This window comes from Homo sapiens, chromosome 17 (assembly GCF_000001405.40).
Source record: "Homo sapiens chromosome 17, GRCh38.p14 Primary Assembly".
NCBI classification, from domain to species: Eukaryota; Metazoa; Chordata; class Mammalia; order Primates; family Hominidae; genus Homo; species Homo sapiens.
Window position 1 is genome coordinate 67,237,799 of NC_000017.11, and position 24,578 is coordinate 67,262,376.

The window sequence follows — 24,578 nt, forward strand, 5'->3', positions numbered from 1 at the left end:
ACCAACATGGTGAACCCCCATCTCCAGTAAAAATACAAAATTAGTCAGGCGTGGTAGCGCACACCTATAGTCCCAGCTACTTGGGAGGCTGAGGCAGGAGAATCACTTGAACCCAAGAGGCAGAGGTTACAGTGAGCTGAGATCGCCCCATTGCACTCCAGCCTGGGCAACAAAAGCAAGACTCCATCTCAAAAAAAAAAAAAAAAAGACCTGAAGCTTTTTGCGGATGAAGATATCTCACAAAAGACAAGTACTGAAAATTCATGGCCAGGCATGGTGGCTCACACCTGTAATTCCAGCACTTTGGGAGGCCAAGGCAGGTGGATCATGAGGTCAGGAGTTTGAGACCAGCCTGGCCAACATAATGAAACCCCGTCTTTACTAAAAATACAAAAAAATTAGCCAGGCATGGTGGCAGGCACCTATAATTCCAGCTACTTGGGAGGCTAAGGTAAGGAGAATCGCTTGAACCTGGGAGGCAGAGGTTGCAGTGAGCTGAGATTGCACCACTGCACTCCAGCCTGGGCGACACTGCCAAGACTCTGTCTCTCAAAAAAAAAAAAAAAAAAAAAGGAAGAAAATTAATTTAAAAATAATTTTAGGTCGGGTGCGGTGGCTCACGCCTGTAATCCTGACACTTTGGGAGGCCGAAGCGAGTGGATCACCTGAGGTCAGGGGTTTGAGGCCAGCCTGGCCAACATGGTAAAGCCCTGGCTCTACTAAAAATACAAAAAGTAGCTGGGCATGGTGGCGGGCGCCTGTAATCCCAGCTACTCAGGAGGCTGAGGCAGGAGAATTGCTTGAACCCAGGAGGCGGAGGTTGCAGTGAGCCGAGATCGTGCCATTCATTGCACTCCAGCCTAGGTGACAAAAGCGAAACTCCGTCTCAAAAAAATAATAATAATTTTAACTCTGATGCCTCATAAGGAAAGTATTAAAAGCCTTCTAATTTATTTCTGTAGTATTACCATTTTCTAAGTGTAATAATGAAAGACGAAGACACCATAGCTGACCAAGAAGATTAATTACTGTGAAATAATAAATACTCAAGACTAAACTGTTTTTAATTAACAGGTATTTCAGCAAAAAGTAAATAATCTGAAAGACTAATAGTATCAATAGAGGTAGTACAACCACTAGGAAAAAAAGTTCAACCTTTTGTTTCTATTGATATGTTCTCCATATTTAGATCCTCAAAACTGCAGATATATACAGTCATTCATGACACTATGTAAATAGCAGATAACAGGAAAAACAATTCAATACTTAACCAAGTTCACTGGAGCACAAAGTAATCGCCACTCAAGAATGCTGACACAAAAACTGAAGGACCTCTCAAGTTCCAATAGCACGCAGATAAGCTGAGCCCCTATGCAGTTACTCATCTGAACAGAAGTGGAAGATTAACCTACCCTCACTCATTTCACACACTAACCTGACAAGGCAGCAGGCAGTCTCTTCGGAGCTTGTTCATCATTCAGTCTGTTCCAGAAGTAACCGATTCCGTTAGGATCTGTGCCTTCAGGTTACCACTGTTTCACTACAGCCCTGTATCACTTCACCCTTGTCCCACCTTATTCTTTCAGGCATTATAAAATTCTTGTTTTCTAAATAAAGTTCTAAACCTTACTCACCTGCAGTTCACTGCACTGGGTATCACCCAAATAGCCCATCAGAGCTCTTTATAATTTCTGAAAGACAAAGAAGAAAGTTTTTTTAATACATAGTAGAAAACACCATTCACCAAGATATCAGTTCCAAAGCATTTGTATCCAATATTCCCAGCATATGGTCTTTTGGTCCACACTAGTTCAATAAAATGTAGCATGACCAGCACTAGACCAAGAGTCTTGAGATAAGCCTCCAAAGATTAAAAACAAGCTTGGTTTAATGTTGCTACTACTGAGCTGTGTGACCTTGAGCAACTCATTTAATTTCTTCAGGCCTATATTTCCTTATCTGGAAAATAAGTCACTTAGACTAGCTAGAGAAAGAAGAGCACAGGCTTTCCAGGAAGAACACCAGCTCCACTACTTTACTGGTCTCGTGACGTTACATTAGTTGAGTCACACTTAAGCCTGAATTTCTTCCTTTGTAAAATGGAAATAACTATCTCGTGAGTTGCTATGAGAATTAAAGGAGATGATGAGTTATAAAAAGCCTATAGTAAATATACTGTGCAGCTTATCCTAAAATTCAACAGATGGTAATTCATTACTACCATTAACCCCCACCAGCCCTAACATTACATGAATTCAATTCATGCATATTTCTTTTAAAAGATCAACAAATCAAAACTTTACCAACCTGACTAAAGAACTAACTGTTTTCATGTTTCACAATTCAAATTACAGTTATCTTAAGCTGATGGTAGTTTATCATTATTACTTATCACAGAAAATAAGAACAGAATAGTCCCTGCACAACATCCAAACTCTGGTTCAATGACCATGCCTTTTCTGACTTCTCACTCTACTTCCACACTGCCAGAATATCTCAGGAATAGAGAGGTCTTCCAAAAGCTAAATGACACCCAGCTGTTTGCCAGATTCAGCTCAAGGGAGCAGGACTAGAGACAGAAGAAGAACAGAGGCTTTTCTTTTTTTTAACCTTTTTTACTTTACATAAGTACTGCTCAAATTTGTTTACCATAAGCATACAGGAGTTTTGCATAAAAGTAAATAATTTTTTAAAACTGTATTAGTTAAACACGTTGCCTACTGACAGGAAGCTCGCATTATAGGACATTTTCATCACAACAAAGATAATTTCTGCAGAAGGAAGCAAAAAGGCAAATTCAGATGTGACAAGAACACCTAAAATATAGCACAGAAATGACAAAAATCACAAACATTCACACTTCAGAATAGTTCAGTCAACAAAGATGCCATGCATTCTTTGAAGAACCTGACGATGAATCAAGTTCTTTTTTGTTCAAAGACAAGATATATGTATACACTCTGCTTTACCAAACAACTTCCTGCTCTTACTTGGAGAAACTGACCCAGTACAATTCACAAAAGTAAACAAGTTGGTATGACTGTTGGTATTAGTTGAAAAACTTTCCATTTCTTTTGAATAATTAAAAGTTGACCAAAATAGTTATTACATGTATATATAAATAAAATTCTTCCTGTTACATCTACAGTGGTCTTTTAAAAAGAGGAATATTCACTTCTAACAGATTCAAGATTACTGAAAACTATTATCCCAGCCACCCTCAAAGCAATAAACCATCATGTTATATGCTGCTTCTAGCCAATGCTACAGAAGTAACCCTGACTGCACTCATCAACTGAAATGAATGGTAAGATAGTATGGCATACTCTCCACTTGTATCACTTTTCTTCTAGAAAACATTTCAAAACATTACTTAGAAATCCAATTACATCTGCATGTATATTCACCTAAGTTTATGAAAATTAAACCTAAAAATTTGCTTATAATTTTTTAAGTAGTTCCTCCCCATCTCTTGGATAACTGTTGTTGATACACCTGGCCCGAAATCTTCTATACATTTGAAACAACAGGCAAAGGTCCTTATTTCTTGTATGGGGCCTGTATTTGGATCTTAGGGTCTCTGACAGACAATTATAGACTAATCTACATTCAATATTAATGCCAAGCCTACTGCTTAAATAGAGAACACATGCATCTGTAAGATCTGGGCTACTTACTTGTAGGTCCCTCTGCACTATTCTTAGCCTTTCATGAATATGCTGTAGATTTTTTAATTACACGAGGCCCTTTGCAAGTAAAAATGACTTTTCCTGTTGTTTTGGCATCACTCCTCTTCCAGTGAAAACTGGACAGTCTATAAATATATACCAACTTTAAGACAATGCATTTTAATATCTATGGCATTAGAAAATAAAACTTCTTGTTAACAAATGCAATAATCAAGTTTACCAGCTAATAGAAAGGTACTTACTCCCAAAAACTACAGCCTTACCTAAAAATAGTGTCCTAGCTTCCCAGCCAAAAGGACAGACTAAAAAAGCTCTGTCTTTATTCAGCTCAGAGACACAGACTTCTACCTCACCACAACCTTCAATACTATGGCATTTCCCATTTTAGAATACTTTGTGTAACAAGTTGTTCAGTGGCCAACCACTAACTTCGCTTTGAAATGAATACTAACACTTCACAGAGTCTACATGTGTGAGAACTGTGGAAAATGTCTTGACACAATTCAGGTCAAACAACACTAGCCACACAAGATTACCTACTTCTAAGTATTCCATTTTAGACTACAAACAAACATCTCCACAGTCAAAAAGCAGACCACTGGCTCCTTTCCACAAAATTATCTGTAGGCTTCAAGAAAAAAGATAAGGCCAGGCATGGTGGCTCACGCTTGTAATCCCAGCACTTTGGGAGGCCAAGGCGGGCAGATCACCTGAGGTCAGGAGCTCGAGACCAGCCTGACCAACATGGTGAAACCCTCTCTCTACTAAAAATACAAAATTAGCCGGGTGTGGTGGCGTAAGCCTGTAATCCCTACTCGGGAAGCTGAGGCAGGAGAATTGCTTGAACCTGGAAGGTAGAGGTTGCAGTGAGCTGAGATCGCGTCATTGCACTCCAGCCTGGGCAACAAGAGTGAAACTCTGTCTCAAAAAAAAAAAAAAAGAAAAAAAATCTATCTATCTATATACATAGATACACACATATATACACATATATACATATATACACACATATCTATACACACATATATGTATATATACACACATATATGTATATATACACACATATATGTATATATACACACATATATGTATATATACACACATATATAAAGTTCAAATTGGGAGGTCTAAGGCAGGAATATGCCTCCATCTGCAAAATAAAAATAAATTTAAAAATCCATATTTGCTCTGCCAAAAATAAAAATTATATGAAATAAACATAAGCACTGCTGAGTTTCAAACACAAGAAAATGCAGTATGTGCACTTACAAAAGAATCTTGGTTTATGTCCACCTTCCTTTCCTAAGTTTTTATTTTTTTAAGGCAAAATGTCAATTACATGCCTCAATCTAGAAAAAAAAAAAAGGATAGCTTATTCTTCTTAAACAGATGTTGTGATAGACACGAAAAATTTGTGAGAGGATTTCAAAATCCAGAGGCCCAGATGTGTGGAGAAACAACAAAAAAAAAACTACAGTAACCAATCGACCACAATTACTTATTATTTTTCTAAAAAAAAACTTAGTAAAACATTTTAAGTTGAGAAAACTCGTGAAAAATGTAAAAGTAGCAAACTTCTCTTCCTCTCTATAGCACAGAAAACTATTCACTAACACTGTATCAATAATATCCTTTAAATCCAAAGCATTACAAATTAGATTAAATAAAGCACTTTGAATAAATTCACACACCGTGTGTGATCAGGACATAATGACAAACTAGTCTATTTCCTAATAAGCTAAACAGATCTCAACACTATCATCTTTATTTCAAAATAATTATTAAAGAGAAAAGTACTACTCCATTTTTCAGAAAATAAAAGCAGGAGTGATTGACCTGCCTAATTCTTTCTAACGGAAAGGGTATACTTTACGAGTCCCACAAACCAGGTACACACAAAATCCATATACATAATCACCGGGACTAAACGTACAGTAGGTGATAGACACCAAAACACAAATAAAATTAAGACATCCAAGTAAAGTTACGCAAGAAAATTTGAATAGGCAAACTATAATTATCCCTGGTGAAGATACTGATCAAGAATAGCTGCAAGTAACATTTGGCTCTTAGTTAAGTACCACTATGTTTGAGTATGTTGGAGCAACTGAAAAGATTGGTACATTCAACATATTTTTCCTTTCTAAATCTAGCCCTGCCCATAGACCCACTGACTGAGTGATACATTTGGAAAACAAAGATGGCCCCATCAAATTACTCAGTTTCAGCCTTACTCTTACCAGTTGATTAAAATAAAGAAGGAAAAAAAGGAAATCATTTTTAACTGCAGTCTCACCTTACACATCTCACCAGCACTGTAGTTCATTAGTGATCCATTACTTCATCCAAATCCTGAGGCAAATAGAAAAGATGTTTCCATACAACACCAGTAACAGACATTATCAGTAGCAAACATTTTATCAGCCTGAAGTGAAAGGGCATCTACATTTAAAATGGAAAAAGTTACAAAAATGGTACAGTGTGCAGCTTTGCAAATGAGTCTGGTTTTTGACCTTAAAACATTTCCTTTCAGTAAGGTAAAAGAATAGATTATACAATGCTCTTAAAACTCAAAAACATAATAAAATCATCTTTTTCAACACAGACTGACCTTACTTTCAAAAACATAAAGAAATGAAGGAGAGGAAATTTCATTAATATGAGTTTAAGAGAGAGCAAAATTAAGAACAAACTAGGCAAGACAGACAACTCCTCCCTCCTTCCCCCGCTCCAGGAATCCACTGTCTCTGAAGTTACACTTTTTATTATATTAATGATTTGCCTGAGAAGTGTTAAGTTGTGAGGGAGAAGGAATGACAATTTTTGAACTGCAAACAAAACCTGAGGATCCCGATCCAAGAACAATCAGAGGACCCTGGCTTCCAGCCCTGTCTGAAGATTTCTCAGCAAAGGCGAGGGTGCAGAAGGCTCCAATAATTTAGGGGAGAGGAATCGAAGTTCCCTAGGTAAGACTGCAGTCTGTGAGCCCTTGAAAAGGGTACTGGAGTACTCTCAAGGAATCTCCAGGAAAAGAGAGCCTATCTTTATTTTTGTTGATGTGCTTGTGGGCCAAAGAGCATTTCCGAGGAGGGGGCGGGGAAAGGGGGGAAGAAAGTGAATCTCGGGCCGAGAGCCCTCCGCGGGGGAGGGAGGGGGCGCACGCCTGACCCACTTTTCCCCACGCCCCCGCTCCAGCCCCCACCCCACCCGGTGGAAGTCCGAGGCCTGAGGGGGGGCATCGAGCGGGGCGTGGGAGGCCCGCACGCTCCCCACCCCCAGCCGCGACCCGGAGGAGGGGAACGTGCCGGGAGGCTCGAGTCCCCCTCCCAGAGTGCTCTGGGCCGGAGAAACCTCCCGCAGGCTCCCGGGCCAGGCGTGCAAGGCCCCCTCTCCTGCCAGGGCCCAGGACGCTGCGGGCCCCAGCGGAGGGGAAGGGGACTAAGTAGGGGAAGAAGCTGTAAACAGCCCCAGCGTCCGGGCCTCGCCTCGAAGAGCCGCGCTTCCCAGGCCCAGCCGCGGGCCGCCCAGGCCCCCAGCCTGCCCCGGGGCCGCCGCGCCCGGGGTCCGGGACACCGGAGGGGAGTCGGGTCCCCTCCCCGGAGAGCTCCGGGAGCTCGCGGAGCGGCCCCAGGAGCAGAGAAGGGGGAAGTCAGGACTTACCTGTCATTACTTTCTACGCCATCTTGGATCCACTTGTCAACGTCCCCACAAAGCATTATGGGTAAGAAAGAGCCTTTAAAGTGACTCCCCCCGGCCCCCGACTCCCGCCTCCCGCCGCCGGCGCCGCCCCCTCCGGCCGCGCCTCCCGCCCGGAAAGTTGCCCCGGGTGGACTGCCGACCCCGGCGCCCGCAGCTGGCCCCTTCCCCTCCCCCGGGCTGACGGCATTGAAAATTCACCCGCATTTTTAAAACGTGGCTTTGGGGTTTTCTCCCTTTCTCCTGCCCCGGCCTCCCTGCCCCCACGCCCGGTCCTCTCGCCTCGCCGCGTTCCTGCCCGGGCAGACGCCCCGCGTCTGCATTGAATCAACCCGAGGTTTCCTTGCCGCCCGCGGCGCGGCGCGGAGCTGCTCGCGGATTTATTTGTGCGCGTGGATGTGAGCGTTTCTGCTCCTGCGGCCGCGCTTCCAGGAAGCCCGCGAGCGGCCGGGGTCGCCTTCAGAGGCCGCGCAGACCAGCTCCGCACCCGCCGCCCGGAGAGGTGCCTCTGCCCTGGGAAACCGCCCCGGGGCCGTTGGGCTCCGGGAACTGGGAGGACGCCGTGTCCCCGAGTCCACCAGCGTCGAAGCACGATTTAAAAAAAAAAATTGAGCCAAATGCAACTTTTTACCCCTTGTTTACTCTGTGTCCCGCGGTCTCCTCCTCCGGGCGGGTAACGTGATCCGCGACCCTCTAGGTGGGGACCCCTCCCCTAGGAATGTGGCTCCAGGCTCCGCGGAGCCACCCTGGGAGCGTCCGGGCTGCGGACTGTGACTCCGGGGCAGGTAATCCGGGGCGCCGGCTGCGGGCTCCGGGCGGGGCGGGGCGCGGAGGCAGCCAGGGCTCGGGGGAGGGTCCCGGGCGGAAAGCAGGGTGCGCCAGTCCGGGTCCACCTGGCGGGTCGGGGGAGAACCGCGGGCGCCGCTGCAGCTCGGGAGGCTGGAGGTGGGGACGCCCGGCGTCTCCGGGCTGCGACCCGCTGCGCTGGAAAGTGTGGGGCGCCTTGGCGCGGGCTGAGGTCTCTGACCCGGGCGAGTACCCCCAGCCCGCCGGCCACACTGCTGCCGGGCATCCTCTCCCCGCGACACCACGCCCGCTTTCGGCTGCGCGGGGCGAGCAGCGTACTGACCCCGGCGTCCAGCCGCCCAGGTCCCCCCAGCAACGGAGGCCCCTTGGTCAGCCTCCTCCCGCGCTCTCCGCAGAGCCTCTGGTCCCTGCTTTGCTGTCTTTGGAGGCCTGCTCCAGTTGCTTTTTTTTTTTTCCAAGCAAGTTTTTACAACAAGGAGATACCCAAAAGAAAATTCTCCAAGACAGGAATGCTTGCGAATTGTATTCGGTACAAAATGCTGTTGAACGGCTCTACCTTTAGAAGACCGCAGAAGCACTGGCATTAAAACCCTCTTTCGGTGCACGGGGAGGGCCTGGGGCCTTGGATCTACCCGAGGATTTTACGCTCCTCCAGACCCTATCAACAGCCTCACTAGGAACGTGAACGGTGGCAGACAGGAGCCCTGCCCCTGGGGAGCCAAAAACTCCACCAGGCAATTGTCCCGGTCTGATGAGAAGGTGTAGACACATTAAGGGATTGGCCCCGGGTCACTCGTGAAGGAGGGAACGAGGTAGTGAGTCATTCCCAGCCAAGAACGCAGCGTGCTGGGGAGCAACCTCCCCTGAGTCACCTGCTTCTCACCTCGGAATAAGTGGAGAAACTGGAGCCTGGAGCCAGGTTCTTAGACGGCCCAGCAAGGTAGCCACCAAGGGCATGGGCTAGGCTGGGGGGAGGCAGCGCCCCTCCTGCTGGAAAAGGGAATGCTTGGCCCGTCTGAAGAAGGCTCCAATGTCTCTTTCCAGGGTACCCCAGGTGCTTCTTTTCCAATTCCTCTTTTGCACTTATTTAGCCACTGGTATGCACTGGCTTAATGGTGGTTTTGTTTGCATGGCACCTTTAGGTATGTGGTCTGAGTTTATGCAAAAGTAATGACAAAAGCCGCAGTGACTTTTGCACCCACCTAATATAAGTAAACAGGAAATAAGTTGAGGGCAAGGACTGTGTCTCCCAAACACGTTTCTTTGATAAGCAGCCTTTCTTTGCCTTGTATAGGCATTGACCCAAATAAGTGTTCAGTTTGTGTGACTGCCCAACCCATTCACTGCCTCCAGTGTGTGCATCCAAGCCCAACCTTGTCAAATACACCGCCTGTTGCCTGAGCTGGGACGGCCTGCCGACTCTTCTCCCTGCCCCTCCTGGATACCTACAATGCATCCTCCACCTGACCAACCCTGTGATATTTTATGAATGTAAATCAGATCGAGACTTCTCTGCTGAAACCTTGGAATAAAACCCAGATTCCCAACCCTGGCCTACAAGCTCCTGTGTGAGGTGGTCCCACCTTCCCTCACCAGCAGTGGTCCAGGCTGGCCTTCTCTCTTTCCCTGCAGCGCCCCAAGCTTCCTTCCAGTGAGAACCCTATTCCCCCAGATCTTCTGATTATCTTTTCTTTGACAGAGTCTTGTTCTGTCGACCAGGCTAGAGTGCAGTAGCGCGATCTCAATTCACTGCAACCTCCGCCTTCTAGGTTCAAGCTGTTCTCTGCCTCAACCTCCTGAGTAGCTGGGATTACAGGCGTCCGCCACCGCGCCCGGCTCATTTTTGTATTTTTAGTAGAGACAGGGTTTCACCATCTTGGCCAGGGTGATCTTGAACTACTGACCTCGTGATCCATGCGCCTTGGCCTCCCAAAGTGCTGGGATTACAGGCGTGAGCCACCACGCCCGACCCATCATCTTTTCATCATATTTAGGTCCCCTCAAAGAGGACTTTTGTGATCCCCCTACCCAGACCAAGTCACTCTGAACACTTGACCTGTGTTAGAAGTTCTCTTGTTTAGGTCGGACGCTGTGGCTCATGCCTGTAATCCCAGCACTTTGGGAGGCCAAGGTGGGTGGATCACAAGGTCAGGAGTTCAAGACCAGCCTGGCCAAGATGGTGAAACCCTGTCTCTACTAAAGGTACAAAAATTACAGCGCGCCTGTAATCCCAGCTACTCGGGAGGCTGAGGCAGGAGAATTGCTTGAACCTGGGGGGCCAAGGTTGCAGTGAGCCAAGATCGTGCCACTGCCCTCCAGCCTGGGTGACAGAGTGAGAATTCCATCTCAAAAAAAAAGTTCTCTTGTTTGCCTGTTGTTAGTTGTTTCTTATCTGCCCCGCCCCCATTTGATCATATGCTCCCTCTGGGCACAGGCTCTGTCTGGCTTATTTGCCTCAGTGACTAGACCAGGGCCTGGCACATACATAGACGCTCACCAAGTATTAGTCGAGTACATGACCAAACTTCTCTCAGGGATGGGCGTGTTGATGAAAAGGAGTGCTAAAGTGTGAAGTGAGATGCTGAGGGCCCTGCCTCGCATCTCTTCAGACCACTGACCACACACAGCTAGAGGCAGGCAGAAAGGAACAGTGTTGAGGGAAAACAGGTCCCTTGGCCACCACTGATTTAGCTCAATTCTGATTCTGATCTCATGAACACACACAGCCCTAACTAACTGATCCCCCCGACATCACATCCCTCTTCCTTCCCACATTTTTTCTTTCTCCTCTGCTCCCACTGGCCGTGGCTTCTTTTCTTTTCTTTTTTTTTTTTTTTTTTGAAACAGTGTCTTTCTCTGTCACCCAGGCCGGAGTGCAGTGGCGCGATCTTGGCTCACTGCAACCTCCACCTCCTGGGTTCAAGCGATTCTCCTGCCTCAGCCTCCCGAATGCTGGCACCACAGGCACACACCACCACGCCCAGGTAATTTTTGTATTTTTAGTAGAGACAGGGTTTCACCATGTTAACTAGGCTGGTCTCGAACTCCTAGCCTGAAGTGACCCACCCGCCTCGGCTTCTCAAAGTGCTGGGATTACAGGTGTGAGCCACTGTGCCCGGCCGCAGTGCCTTCATTTTCTGCTTGGAGAGTCCCAAGTCTCAGTCCTTGGGTTTCTCTTCTACAACTACACTCCCTGGTCATTTGCCTTAGTACAAAAATTAGCTGGGCGTGGTGGTGGGCGCCTGTAATCCCAGCTACTCCAGAGGCCAGGGCAGGAGAAACGCTAGAACCTGGGAGGCAGAGGTTGCAGTGAGTTGAGATCGTGCCACTGCACTCTAGCCTGGGTGACAAGAGTGAGACTTCATCTCAAAAAAAAAAAGAGAAATAATTATAATGGACTGCCCACGGTGGCTCACGCCTGTAATCTCAGCACTTTGAGAGGCCGAGGCCAGGAGTTCGATCACTTGAGACCAGGAGTTCGGGACCATCCTGGCCAACATGGCAAACCCTATCTCTACAAAAAATACAAAATTTAGCTGTGCATGGTGGCTCATGCCTGTCATCTGATCCCAGCTACTCGGGAGGCTGAGGCAGGAGAATCAAGAATCGCTTGAACCTGAGGGGCGGAGGTTGCAGTGAGCTGAGATAGCGCCACTGCACTCCAGTCTGGGTGACAGAGTGAGACTGTCTCAAAAAAAAAAAAATTATAATGCCTTGAGGAATGTAAAGTACATCTAGAATTGAAATATTTGATAACAGTGAGTATAAATCTGAGAAGGGCGGTGGTTGCAGTTAGTGGAGTTAAAATGGTCCAAAGTAGGCCGGGCGCGGTGGCTCATGCCTGTAATCCCAGCACTTTGGGAGGCTGAGGAGGACGGATCACAAGGTCAGGAGATCAAGACCATCCTGGCTAACACAGTGAAACCCCATCTCTACTAAAAATACAAAATATCAGCTGGGTATGGTGGCGGGCGCCTATACTCGCAGCTACTTGGGAGGCTAAGGCAGGAGAATGGCGTTAACCTGGGAGGCGGAGCTTGCAGTGAGCAGAGATCCCGTCACTGCACTCCAGCCTAGGTGACAGACTGAGACTCCGTCTCAAAAAAGCAAAAAACAAACAAAAAAAAGGTCCAAAGTATTTACATTATCCAGCAATACGACTAAAGTACCAGTTAAGACTAGACATTGACAAAGGCAAAGATGCATGTTGTAACATCTAAGTTAATCACTAGACCTGTAAAAGAATGAATAATTTCCAAGCTAACATAGAGGGAAGACAATAATAAATTCAAAAGAAGGCAAATACTGATTAAAAAGACCACAAAAGGCCAGGCAGGGTGGCTCACGCCTGTAATCCCAACACTTAGGGAGGCTGAGGCGAGCGGATCACAAGGTCAAGAGATCGAGACCATCCTGGCCAACATGGTGAAACCCCGTCTCTACTAAAAATACAAAAATTAGCCGGGCGTGGTGGCGGGTGCTTGTAATCCCAGCTACTTGGGAGGCTGAGGCAGGAGAATCGCTTGAACCCGGGAGGCAGAGGTTGCAATGAGCTGAGATCGCACCACTGCACTCCAGCGTGGCAACAGAGTGAGACTCCATTTCAAAAAAAAAAAAAACAAAAAAAAAACACGCAAAGTAGGTGGGATTTAAACAAATTATATCAGTAATTACTTTAAATGTATTAATAAACTAATTGCTCTAGTTATAAAACTAATTATATGCTGTTATCAAGAAGTAAACCTAAAAGATATGGATTTTAAAAATTTAAAATAGTATAGGCTGGGCGCGGTGGCTCATTCCTGTAATCGCAGCACTTTGGGAGGCTGAGGCAGGTGGATCACTTGAGGTCAGGAGTTCAAGACCAGCCTGGCCAACATGGTGAAACTCCGTCTCTACTAAAAATACAAAAAATAGCTGGGCGTGGTGGCGCACACCTGTAATCTCAGCTAGTCAGAAGGCTACCGCAGGGGAATTGCTTGAACCTGGGAGGCGGAGGTTGCAGGGAGCCGAGACTGTGCCATTGCACTCCAGCCTGGGTGACAGAGTGAGACTCCGTCTCAAAAAAAAAAAAAAGAAGTAACCATATAGACAAAGACAAGCCATGCAAACAGAGTGAAAAGCAACCTACGGTGACTCACGCCTGTAATCCCAGCAGTTTGGGAGGCTGAGGAGGGTGGATCCCTTGAGGCCAGAAGTTCAAGACCAGCCTGGTCAACATGGCGAAAGCCTGTCTCTACTAAAAATACAAAAATTAGCTGGGTGTGATGGTGCACACCTGTAATCCCAGCTACTCAGCAGACTGAGAATCGCTTGAATCCAGGAGGCGGAGGTTACAGTGAGCCAGGATCACACCACTGCACTCCAGCCTGGGCAACAAAGTGAGAGTTACTGTCCCCAAAAAAACACACAAAATGAAAGGCAACCTACAGAATGAGAGAAATGGGAGAAAATATTTATAAATCATATATCTGGTAAGGGGTTAACATCCAGAATAGACAAAGAATGCCTACAAGTCAACAACGACCAAAAAAAAAAAAAAAAAAAACCCAATCTGATTTTAAAATGGGCAAAGAATACCACCTCACACCCATTAAGATGGTCACTATCAGGAAAAAAAAAAAAAAAGAACAGAAAATAACAAGTGTTGTCAAAGATGCACCCTTGCGCATTGCTAATGGGAATGTAAAATGGTACAGCTGCTAAAGAAAACAGTATAGCAGGCCCTCAAAAATTAAACGTAGAGGCCAGGTGCAGTGGCTCACGCCTGTAATCCCAGTGCTTTGGGAGGCTGAGGTGGGCGGATCACTTGAGGTCAGGAGTTCAAGGCCAGCCAGGCCAACATGGCAAAACCTCATTTCTACTAAAAATAACAAAAATTAGCCTGGTGTGGTGGCACATGCCTGTAATCTCAGCTATTCAGGAAGCTGAGGCACAAGAATCACTTGAACCTGGGAGGTGGAGGTTGCAGTGAGCTGAGACCATGCCATTGCACTCTAGCCTGGGCGACAAAGCAAGACTCCATCTCAAAATAATAATAATAATAATAATTAAACATAGAATCACCATGTAATCCAGCAGTTTTAATTCTGGGTATATGCCCAAAGGAATTGAAAGCAGGATCTCAAACAAATATTTGTACAGCCACATTCATAATATTATTCATCACAGCCAAAAGATGAAAACAACACAAGTGCCCACTGATGGACGAATGGATAAATACAATGTGGTACATACACACAGTGAAATACTAATTTTTGTTTTGAGACAGGGTCTCACTCTGTCGCCCAGGCTGGAGTACAGTGGCACGAACAAGGCTCACTGCAGCCTCAACCTCCTGTGCTCAAGCAATCCTACCACCTCAGCGTCCTGAGTAGGTGGCACACCTATAGGCACGTGCCACCATACCCAGCTAATTTTTTAATTTTTTTGTAGAGTTGGGGTCTCCCTATGTTGCCTCGGTTGGTCTCCTTCCACCTCTGCCTCCCAAAGTGCTGGATTACAGGTGTGAGCCATCATATCTGGCCTTAAGTCTTAAAAAGGAAGAAAATTCTGACACATGCTACCACAAGGATGAACCTTGAGGACATTAGGTTAGTAAAATAAAGCAGATAAGCAGACAGAAAAGTACACATACTGTATGACTCCACTTATATGAGGTTCCTACAGGAGTCAAATTTATACAGAGAGTAGAAGGGTGATTGCCAGGGGCTGGGGTAGGAGAGAATGGGAAGTTGTTATTTAATGGACATAGTTTTAATTTTGCAAGATGAAAAGAGTTCTAGAGATCAGCTGGCAAAATAGGTCAAATGTACTTTACTGACCTGTATACTTAAAAACTCTTAGATGGGAAATTTTCTATTACACATATTTTACCGCAGTTTACAAAATTAAAACATTTGAAGCTGGGTGCGGTGCCTCACGCCTGTAATCCCAGAACTTCGGGAGGCCAAGGTGGGCGGATCACCTGACATCAGGAGTTGAAGACCAGCCTGGCCAACATGGTGAAACCCCGTCTCTACTAAAAATACAAAAAAAAATTAGCCGTCATGGTGGCGCGTGCCTGTAATCCCAGCTATTTGGGAGGCTGAGGCAGGAGAATCACTTCAACCTGGGAGGCAGAGGTTGCAGTGAGCCGAGATCATGCCACTGTACTCCAGCCCGGGAGACATACTGAGACTCAGTCTCAAAAAAAAAAAAAAAAAAAATTTAAACACCAACCATGCAAAGACTGATCAAAATAAAGTAGGCTTTAGGGCAAGCAGCATTACTAGAAATAAGGAAAGACACTGGGTAACGTTAATATTCTCAATTCGCCAAGAAGATATAACAATTCTAAGTTTGTGTGTTGCTGATAAACATAGGCTCAAAATATATAAAGCAAAAAATAGTCCGAATTCCAAGGAGACAAATCTATGATTATAGCAGAAGTTATGTCTGTCAGTAACTGTTAAAAGAAGCATATGCAAAATTAGTAAGCAATAGATCTGAACCACTGGATAAGCAAACTTTAACCAAATGGACATATATAGAATAGTGCACCCACAACTGCAGATCCCAGATTCTTTTCAAGTATACATGGAATGTTTATGAAATGCTCGGCAATATAGCAAGTTCCAACAAATTTCAAGTGATGTAAATCATACAGAGTACATTCTCAGACAATGATGCAATTAAGCTGGAAAATAAGAATTTTAAAAATTAGGAAATATCTACATGTTCAGAAACTATACATATACTTGTAAATAACTCACATTTTTTAAAAAGATCACAATGGGAATTAGAAAATATTTTAAACTGATAGTTCATAAAAATATTACATCCTCAAAAATGAGATGCAGCTAAAGCCATACTTCAATGGAAGGTTTTTAATTAAAGTATTTTTAATGCCTGTATTAGAAAATAAGAGAGACTGAAATAAGAATAAACAAAGTACTCTTGTTGAGAAATTAGAAAAAACATCTAATTAAGCACAAAGAAATGAAAACATAGGCTAAAGTTAATTCTTTGAGAAGCCCAATAAAATTAAGCCCCTGGTAAGTCTATTTTTTTTTTCTTTATGGAGATGGAATCTCTCTGTGTCGCCCAGGCTGGGGTGCAGTGGCACAATCTTGGCTCCCTGCAACCTCTGCCTTCCAGGTTCAGGCGATTCTCCTGACTCAGCCTCCCGAGTAGCTGGGACTACAGGCACGTGCCAACACATCTGGCTAATTTTTTGTATTTTTAGTAGAGATGGGGTTTCTTTTTTTTCTCTCTTTTTTTTTTTTTTTTTTTTTTTGAGAAGGAGTCTCGCTGTGTCCCCCAGGTTGGAGTGTAGTGGCGCGATCTCAGCTCACTGCAAGCTCCACCTCCCGGGTTCACGCCATTCTCCTGCCTCAGCCTCCCAAGTAGCTGGGACTACAGGTGCCCGCCAACACGCCCGGCTAATTTTTTGTATTTTTAGTAGAAATGGGGTTTCACCGTGTTAGCCAGGATGGTCTCGATTTTCTGACCTCATGATCCGCCCATCTCGGCCTCCCAAAGTGCTGGGATTACAGGCGTGAGCCACCGCGCCCGGCTAGACGGGGTTTCACCATGTTAGCCAGGATGGTCTTGATCTCCTGACGTCGTGTTCCGCCCGCTTCGGCCTCTCAAAGTGCTGGTACTGGCGTGAGCCACCGTACCTGGCTTTTTTTTTTTTTTTTTTGACACAGTTTCACTGTGTTGCCCAGGCTGGAATGCAGTGGTGCGATCTTGGCTCACTGCAGCCTCCGCCTCCCAGGTTCAAGTGATTCTCATGCCTCAGCTTCCCAAGTAGCTGGGATTACAGGCGTGTGCCACTATGCCCAGCTAATTTTTGGTGAAATCCCGTCTCTGCTAAACATACAAAAAATTAGCTGGGCGTGGTGGTGCATGCCAGTGGTCCCAGCTACGGCGGAGGCTGAGGCACAAGAATTGCTTGAATCCGGGAGGCAGAGGTTGCATTAAGCAGAGATCACTCCCCTGCACTCCAGCCAGGGGCAAAAGAGTGAGACTTTGTCTCCAAAAAAAAGAAGAAAGACACCTAACCTCTACAAAGAAAAATTAATTCCAGGTGGGTTGTAGATTTAAATATGTAAGAAAAAAATATAAAGCTCCTAAAACAGTACAAATCAAGAGAAAATGAAAGTATTCTATGATCTGTGCTTTAATACAGGCAACTGAGGAATTTTTTAATTTTTTTTTAAAGACAGAGTCTTGCTCTGTTGCCAGGCTGGAGTGCAGTGGCGCAATCTCGGCTCACTGCGACCTCCACCACCCGGGTTCAAGCGATTCTCCTGCCTCAGCCTCCTGAGTAGCTGGGACTACAAGCACACGCCACCATGCCCAGCTAATTTTTGTGTTTTTAGTAGAGACGGGGTTTCACCATGTTGGCCAGGATGGTCTCGATCTCTTGACCTCGTGATCCGCCCCCCCCCCCCCATCCCCCTGCCATGGCCTCCCAAAGTGCTGGGATTACAGGCGTGCACCACTGCACCTGGCTTTTGTTTCATTTTAATTCATTTCTGTTTAAGTAGTCACAGATGGCCACCATATTGGGTACCACAGAACTAGGAGATAATATTAAAATATCTTTGTGACCTGAAGGTAGGAAAGAATTATTAAACAGGACACAAAAATCAATAACCAAAAAGAAGAAAAAAATTAAGAAGTTTGACTGCATTAAAATTAAGAAATTGTGTACACTACAAAACATTAAAAGAGTGCAATGTCATGTCACAAGTGGAAAAGGATATTTACAGCATGAATAACAAAGGACTGAGATCTAGAATATATAAAGGATTCTTACATATCAATAAGGAAAAAAAAGAACCCAAAAGAAAACCAGATAAAAGCCATTAACAGGCAATGCACCAGAAAAGATATCCAAATGACCGATAAAGGTGTTTGAAACTGCTCAACCTCACTCATAAGCAAATAAATACAAATTAAAATCGTGATGAGATAGCAGCACACACCCAGCAGAAGGGCTTAAATTAAAAAGGCTGACAATACAGAGAGATGGTTAGGATGTAGGGCAATGGAATCTCAAATACAGCTGGGTCAAGTTTGGATTGGTATAACCACTTTGGAAAACTGTTTGGCAGTATCTACTGACGTTGAACATCCTCTGTAACCCAGCAATTTCACTCCAGGAAATATATGAACTTGTACCTCAAAAGACATGAGTATTTGTATTAGAATATTCTATAAGTATTTGTAGCAGTATGAATCATAATAGCCAAAAGTTGGGGGCAGACCCAGATGTACCTCAGCAGTGGAATGAGCAAACTTCTACATTCATACTGTGAATTACCCCACAGCAGGCAAGGAATAGTGGCTCAGGCCTGTAATCCCAGCACTTTGGGAGGCCTAGATGGGCCAATCACTTGAGGCCAGGGGTTCAAGCCCAGCGTGGCCAACATGGCAAAACCCCATCTCTACACAAAAATTAGCCAGGCATGGTGGCGCACACCATGCTAATCCCAGCTACTCAGGAAGCTGACACAGCAGAATTGCTTGAACCCAGGAGGTGGAGGCTGCAATGATCTGAGATCACACCACTGCACTCCAGCCTGGACAACAGAGCAAGACCCCGTCTCAAAAAACAAAAGGCAAACAAAATTAAACTACAGCATTGACAGACACATGCTTAGCAAGGAGACAATTGCCATAAAATTTAGGACTGTGGTTGCCTCTAAAAGGAGGTGGGAAGCATGAGTGAGGGTTCGAGTTGCTCATGATGGTACATGTCTTGACCTGATGTTCTGTGACATGGCTCTTTGCTGTGTGATAAAACAATGAGCTATCTCTGTTTCATACACTTTTCTGTAGTGTGTTATATTTCACAATAAGAAAAGGCTAAAAGAAAACAGACTGGCACGGTGGCTCACACCTGTAATCCCAGCACTTTGGGAGGCCGAGGCAGATGGATCATGAGGTCAGGAGTTGAAGACCAGCCTGGCCAAGGTGATGAAACCCTGTCTCTACTAAAAATGCAAAAATTAGCCGGGCGTGTTGGCGGGCACCTGTAATCCCAGCTACCCGAGAGGCTGAGGCAGAGAATTGCTTGAACCCCGGAGGCAGAGGTTGCAGTGAGCCAAGATCTCACCACTGCACTCCAGCCTGGGTGACAGCGAGACTCCATCTCAATAAATAAATAAATAAATAAATAAATAAATAAATAAATATTCAGCTGGGCGCGGTGGTTCACGCCCGTAACCCCAGCACTTTGGGAGGCCAACGCGGGGTTGGCCAAGGTTAGGAGATCAAGAACATCCTGACTAACACCACTGAAACCCATCTCTACTAAAAATACAAAAAACTAGCTGGGCATGGTGGCACGTGCCTGTAGTCCCAGCTACTCGGGAGGCTGAGGCAGGAGAATAGCTTCAACCCAGGAGGCAGAGGTTGCAGTGAGCTGAGATCAAACAACTGCACTTCAGCCTAGGTGACAGAGCAAGACTCTGTCTCAAAAAAAAAAAAAAAAATAAAAATTTAAAACTCAGTGGATATGTTTGACAAAAAAGCAGCTCTGTATTTTTCTCCTTCCTAATGAAAGCAGGAACCTTTCTAAAAGGAAGTAGTAGAAGTTTGCAGCATTTCTGGCCTCCCAAACATATCCAGTGGCTGTTTCTGGCTTCTCAGTTCACTTTTGAATCCCCTACTTTTCCTTCTCTCTCCTAGTCAGATGTGTTCTGTGTGTGTGTGTGTGTGTGTGCATGAGTGTGTGAATGCATGAGTGTGTGAATGCATGTATGTGTGAACGTGTATTTGTGTGTGGATGAGTGTGTGTGAATGTTTACGTCTGTGTGTTTGCGTGTGTTTGTGAACATGTATGTGCTAACGTGCTTGTGTTTGTGAACATGAGAGTATGTGAGACTGTGTGTGTGTGTGTGAATGAGTGTGTATGTGTGTGTGCGCACAGGCGCCTGTGTGGCTCAGCCTTGGCCCTTGGCTCTCTGGCTTCTGCAGGCTCTCCCACGGAGCACCCTCTGCTGACTCTGCAGCCCCGCAGGCCTTCCTCGAACAGTCCATGACAGGAAGCCAGGCTTCCTGGGGTCCTGAGTCAGCAGAGCAGGAAGGAAACAAAGGCCTCAGAACCGCAGAAGAGAAAGAAGGCAGCCTGAAGACAGAAGGCGACCCTCTGAAGACAGGTCTAGAGACTTAACGTATGATGTTCCTGGAGTCCTGTTGCCTGTAAGGGAAGCACAAACCCTGAGTTGCACTGTGTCCTCTGACCTGTCTGATCCCAGGCAAGCTCCTCGGCCTCTCTCTGCTACAGTTTCTTTGCCTGTGAAACAGGGATAATAAAATAGCCTTTCCATGGGCTGAGCACGGTGGTTCACACCTGTAATCCCAGCACTTTGGGAGGCCAAGGCGGGTGGATCACGAGGTCAGGAGTTCAAGACCATCCTGGCCAACACAGTGAAACCCCGTCTGTATTAAAAATACAAAAACTAGCTGTGCATGGTGGTGCGTGCCTGTAGTGCCAGCTACTCAAGAGGCTGAGGCAGGAGAATTGCTTGAACCCGGGAGGTAGAGGTTGCAGTGAGCCGAGATCGCGCCACTGCACTCCAGCCTGAGCAACAGAGTGAGGCTTCGTCCCAAAAAAAAAAAAAAAAAAAAAAAAAACAATAGCCTTTCCAGGGACTGTGGGATTACAGGCTTCTCAAACCTCAGCTTGGATAGAGTAAGTCTACAGAAGATTAGCTCTTACTACTTCAACGGTTTTAAAACAGGGAATGTTAAATACCCACTTATTTTCTTCCTGCCTTTTAGCTCCCACGTTTCAATTGAAACTAATATCGAACAAGCAAACAAAACAAATCAGAAACCCCCTGGTAGCCAGGGTTTGGCATTTGTGATTAATCTACAGGAGATCAGTACTAAAATAGGATATTATGTCTGAGGACATTTTCATCCTAGGTCCTACTGCAACTCGAATGGCACTTAGGCTCCACAAGACCAACTTCCTATTTCTACATCAGTGAAGGTTCGGAGTGGAGCTTTTCATTCAGCAAAGACAGCAGGAAGCACAGGGTTCGGTGATGAATTCTCACGTGGTGAGCGTGGTCTCCAGAGGTGTTAAGATGTTGTGGGAAAGCAGAAAGCACCAGGTTTAGAGGTGACTTAGACCTTGGTCCACGAGACCTTTGGCTAACTACTGAATCTGGCCCTTCTTATCCATCAAAGGGAAACACTGGACTACATGGTCTAAATTTCCTTCACCTCAATAAGTAAGGGTTTCACTCTTCTAACAAAAGAAAGAAAGAGGGTCAGGTGCAGTGGCTCACACCTGCAATCCTAGCACTTTGGGAGGACGAGGCAGGCGATCACCTGAGGTCAGGAGTTCAAGACCAGCCTGGCCAACATGGTGAAACCCCATCTCTACTAAAAATACACAAATTAGCTGAGCGTGGTGGCGGGTGCCTGTAGTCACAGCTACTCGGGAGGCTGAAGCAGGAGAATGGCTTGAACCCAGGAGGCGAAGGTTGCAGTGAGCCAAGATCACACCACTGCACTCCAGCCTGGGTGACAGAGCAAGACTCCCTCTCAAAAAAAGAGAGAGGGAAGGAGGGGTAGAGGGAAGGAGGGGTAGAGGGAGGGAGGGAGGGAAAGAGAGAAAAAGAAGGAAAGAGAGAGGCCAGGCATGGTGGCGCACACCTGTAATCCCAGCACTTCGGGAGGCCGAGGCAGGTGGATCACAAGGTCAGGAGTTCGGGACCAGCATGGCCACTATGGTGAAACCCCATCTCTACTAAAAATACAAAAAAACAAATTAGCCGGGCGTGATGGCGCATGCCTGTAATCCCAACTACTCGGGAGGCTGAAGCAGGAGAATTGCTTGAACCCAGGAGGCAGAGGTTGCAGTGAGCCGAGATCGCGCCACTGCACTCCATCCTGAGGGACAGAGCGAGACTCTGTCTCAAAAAAAAAAAAAAGAAAAGAAAAGAAAAAAGGAGGAGGGAGAGAAGAAAGGAGAGCGAGTGATGAAGATTTTGGCTAAGAACCAGCTATGAAGAAAAAAAAAAAAGTATCCCCTAAAGTCTTTCTTCTTACAAAACAAAGTGTGTTTTAATTATAAGTCAAATTTCACTTTAAAGGAAGAAAATAACCCTTAGGCATTTTCTGTTCTAGTTAATTTAACTTTAATTTTTGTCTCCAGCAGGTACCTCTTCAGTAGAAAAATTCAATAAGGTTTCTGACACTTTCTACCTATGGGCCAGTTACATACAGAAGAGAAAACTGAAACTGAAAACTGGTTTGTCATTTTTACAGAAAGTCACTGCAAAGAAGGAGAATTCCAAGTGCAAATGACTTGAGTACGTAATTCTTTTGTGCCATTTCTGTTACTATAGGGTTAATCCAGTATGAAGAAAGTGACAAAGGGCAGCATTTATTTTTATGGATTCCACATTATAACCAAGTACTTGGCAACCTGCCCTCTCATATGTTGCGAAACAAAAATGTTGCTTTCAGTGTGTTTTTAATAGGCCAAGCAGTTTGTTTGATCACAGTGGTCGGGTATACACTCAGAGACGCCAGAACATTCTCATTGCGTTTTCACTGCTTTGGTTAACATCTTGGTCTCCTGTCCGCACTCTAAAGAACCATTTGAGGACTCAGGGGAGTCATGTCCTGGGAGTGACTATGGGTCCTAGGCCACAGCCCCCACTCTCTCAGCCTAAACCACTCAAAGGCACTCAGATCCGGATTTGCAAAATATTTTGCAAAACTTGCAAAAACCCCACCAGTTTTAGATTTTGAAATTGTTGGCACAGGCAACCGTCTACAATCATGAAATTCTCATGAGTGAGGTGGAACAGATTTCTGTAAACAAAGCAAACTCCAGTCTCTCCAGCCTGCTGTAGAAATATTTATACCCGGCCGGGTGCAGTGGCTCACACCTGTGATCTCAGCACTTTGGGAGGCCGAGGCGGGTGGATCACCTGAGGTCAGGCGTTCGAGACCAGCCTGGCCAACATGGTGAAACCCCACCAGTACTAAAAATACAAAAATTGGCCAGGCGCGGTGGCTCACGCCTGTAATCCCAGCACTTTGGGAGGCCAAGGCAGGTGGATCACCTGAGGTCAGGAGTTTGAGACCAGCCTGGCCAACATGGCAAAAACCCACCTCTACTAAAAATACAAAATTAGCTGAGCATGGTGACAGATGCCTGTAATCCCAGCTACTCGGGAGGCTGAGGCAGGAGAATTGCTTGAACCCGATAGACGGAGGTTTCAGTGAGCCGAGATCACGCCACTGCACTCCAGCCTGGGCGACAGTGAGACCCCATCTCAAAAAAAAAAAAAAAAAAAAAAAAAAAAAAAAAGTCAGGTGCGGTGGCTCATGCCTATAATCCCAGCACTTTGGGAGGCCAAGGTAGGTGGATAACCTGAGGTCGGGAGTTCAAGACCAGCCTGACCAACATGGAGAAACTCCATCTCTACTAAAACTACAAAATTAGCCAGGCATGGTGGCACATGCCTGTAATCCCAGCTACTCGGGAGGCTGAGGCAGGAAAATTGGTTGAACCTGGGAGGTGGAGGTTGCAGTGAGCTGAGATCGCACCATTGCACTCCAGCCTGGGCAAACAAGAGCGAAACTCTGTCTCTAAAAAAGAAAAGTACAAAAAGTAGTTGGGTGTGGTGGTGTGCACCTGTAATCTCAGCTATTTGGGAGACTGAGGCATGAGAATAGCTTGAACCCAGGAAGCAGAGGTTGCAGTGAGCCAAGATTGCACCAGTGCACTCCAGCCTGGGCGACAGAGCAAGGATCTGTCTCAAAAAAAAAAAAAAAAAAAACCAGAAAAGAAAAAGAAATATTTATACCCAAAGAAAAGGGTCCCTTCCAGCTCAAGGATGTGTTAATGTAATTTTTTTTTTAACTATAAATGAAGTGCTTTGAGCAAACCTCAGAACCTTCAGGTGCACATTTTACCCTAACTCATCTCTTTGCCCCATAGGCTTGACGGAAAGGTAAAAATATCCCTATGATTCTCTTCACAAGAAGGTAGCCAAGTATTTATTGGATGCAAGACAGTTTGTTTAAGGAGCCTAAAAAAGCAAAGATGCAGCGGTGAGAAAGAACAAGATCATGACCTTTGCAGGAACATGGATGGAGCTGGAGGCCATTATCCTTAGCAAACTAACACAGGAACAGAAAACCAAGTACCGCATGTTCTCACTTAAAAGTGGGAGCTACATGATGAGAACACACAGACACATAGAAGGGAACAGCACACACTGGGGACTTTCGGAGGGTGGAGGGTGGGAGGAAGGAGAGGATTGGGAAAAATAACTAATGGCTACTAGGCTTAAAACTTGGGGGACAAAATAATATGTACAACAAAACCCCATGACACAAGTTTACCTAGTAACAAAC

General features: G+C 45.5%; 1 protein-coding gene and 1 long non-coding RNA gene across 9 annotated transcripts in view, besides 6 other annotated features; one reads left to right on the plus strand and one right to left on the minus strand.

The window, feature by feature from the left end:
- Positions 1–8,191, minus strand: part of HELZ (helicase with zinc finger) — a 175,546-nt gene extending 167,355 nt beyond the window's left edge. For 5 of the 8 annotated variants that reach the window (XR_001752712.3, NM_014877.4, NM_001330447.2 and 2 more), the window contains exons 1-3: positions 7,350–7,398; positions 5,986–6,041; positions 1,635–1,691 (exon numbers count right to left, since the gene is read on the minus strand). The gene's annotated coding sequence lies outside the window, so the exon portion shown is untranslated. Of the gene's footprint in view, positions 1–1,634; positions 1,692–5,985; positions 6,042–7,349; positions 7,399–8,016 lie in introns of those variants that run through there. The other 3 variants (XM_047437225.1, XM_047437224.1, XM_011525544.2) reach the window with 1 other exon arrangement.
- Positions 6,622–7,609: an enhancer, noted in NCBI's record as "H3K27ac hESC enhancer chr17:65240536-65241523 (GRCh37/hg19 assembly coordinates)". NCBI's record gives its function as "activates a minimal SCP1, AML or CMV promoter by ChIP-STARR-seq in primed H9 embryonic stem cells {active_cell/tissue: H9 hESC(primed)}" and the evidence as "EXISTENCE:reporter gene assay evidence [ECO:0000049][PMID:30033119]".
- Positions 6,926–6,975: a silencer, noted in NCBI's record as "silent region_8865". NCBI's record gives its function as "represses an Ori minimal core promoter by ATAC-STARR-seq in GM12878 lymphoblastoid cells {active_cell/tissue: GM12878}" and the evidence as "EXISTENCE:reporter gene assay evidence [ECO:0000049][PMID:35858748]".
- Positions 6,978–24,282, plus strand: HELZ-AS1 (HELZ antisense RNA 1). The gene is made up of 4 exons (NR_136398.1): positions 6,978–7,410; positions 21,120–21,256; positions 22,360–22,516; positions 24,160–24,282. It is a non-coding gene; the product is annotated as an HELZ antisense RNA 1 (long non-coding RNA).
- Positions 7,076–7,565: a silencer, noted in NCBI's record as "silent region_8866". NCBI's record gives its function as "represses an Ori minimal core promoter by ATAC-STARR-seq in GM12878 lymphoblastoid cells {active_cell/tissue: GM12878}" and the evidence as "EXISTENCE:reporter gene assay evidence [ECO:0000049][PMID:35858748]".
- Positions 7,610–8,596: an enhancer, noted in NCBI's record as "H3K27ac hESC enhancer chr17:65241524-65242510 (GRCh37/hg19 assembly coordinates)". NCBI's record gives its function as "activates a minimal SCP1, AML or CMV promoter by ChIP-STARR-seq in primed H9 embryonic stem cells {active_cell/tissue: H9 hESC(primed)}" and the evidence as "EXISTENCE:reporter gene assay evidence [ECO:0000049][PMID:30033119]".
- Positions 8,116–8,205: a silencer, noted in NCBI's record as "silent region_8867". NCBI's record gives its function as "represses an Ori minimal core promoter by ATAC-STARR-seq in GM12878 lymphoblastoid cells {active_cell/tissue: GM12878}" and the evidence as "EXISTENCE:reporter gene assay evidence [ECO:0000049][PMID:35858748]".
- Positions 8,216–8,415: a silencer, noted in NCBI's record as "silent region_8868". NCBI's record gives its function as "represses an Ori minimal core promoter by ATAC-STARR-seq in GM12878 lymphoblastoid cells {active_cell/tissue: GM12878}" and the evidence as "EXISTENCE:reporter gene assay evidence [ECO:0000049][PMID:35858748]".
- Positions 24,283–24,578: the final 296 nt, after the last annotated feature.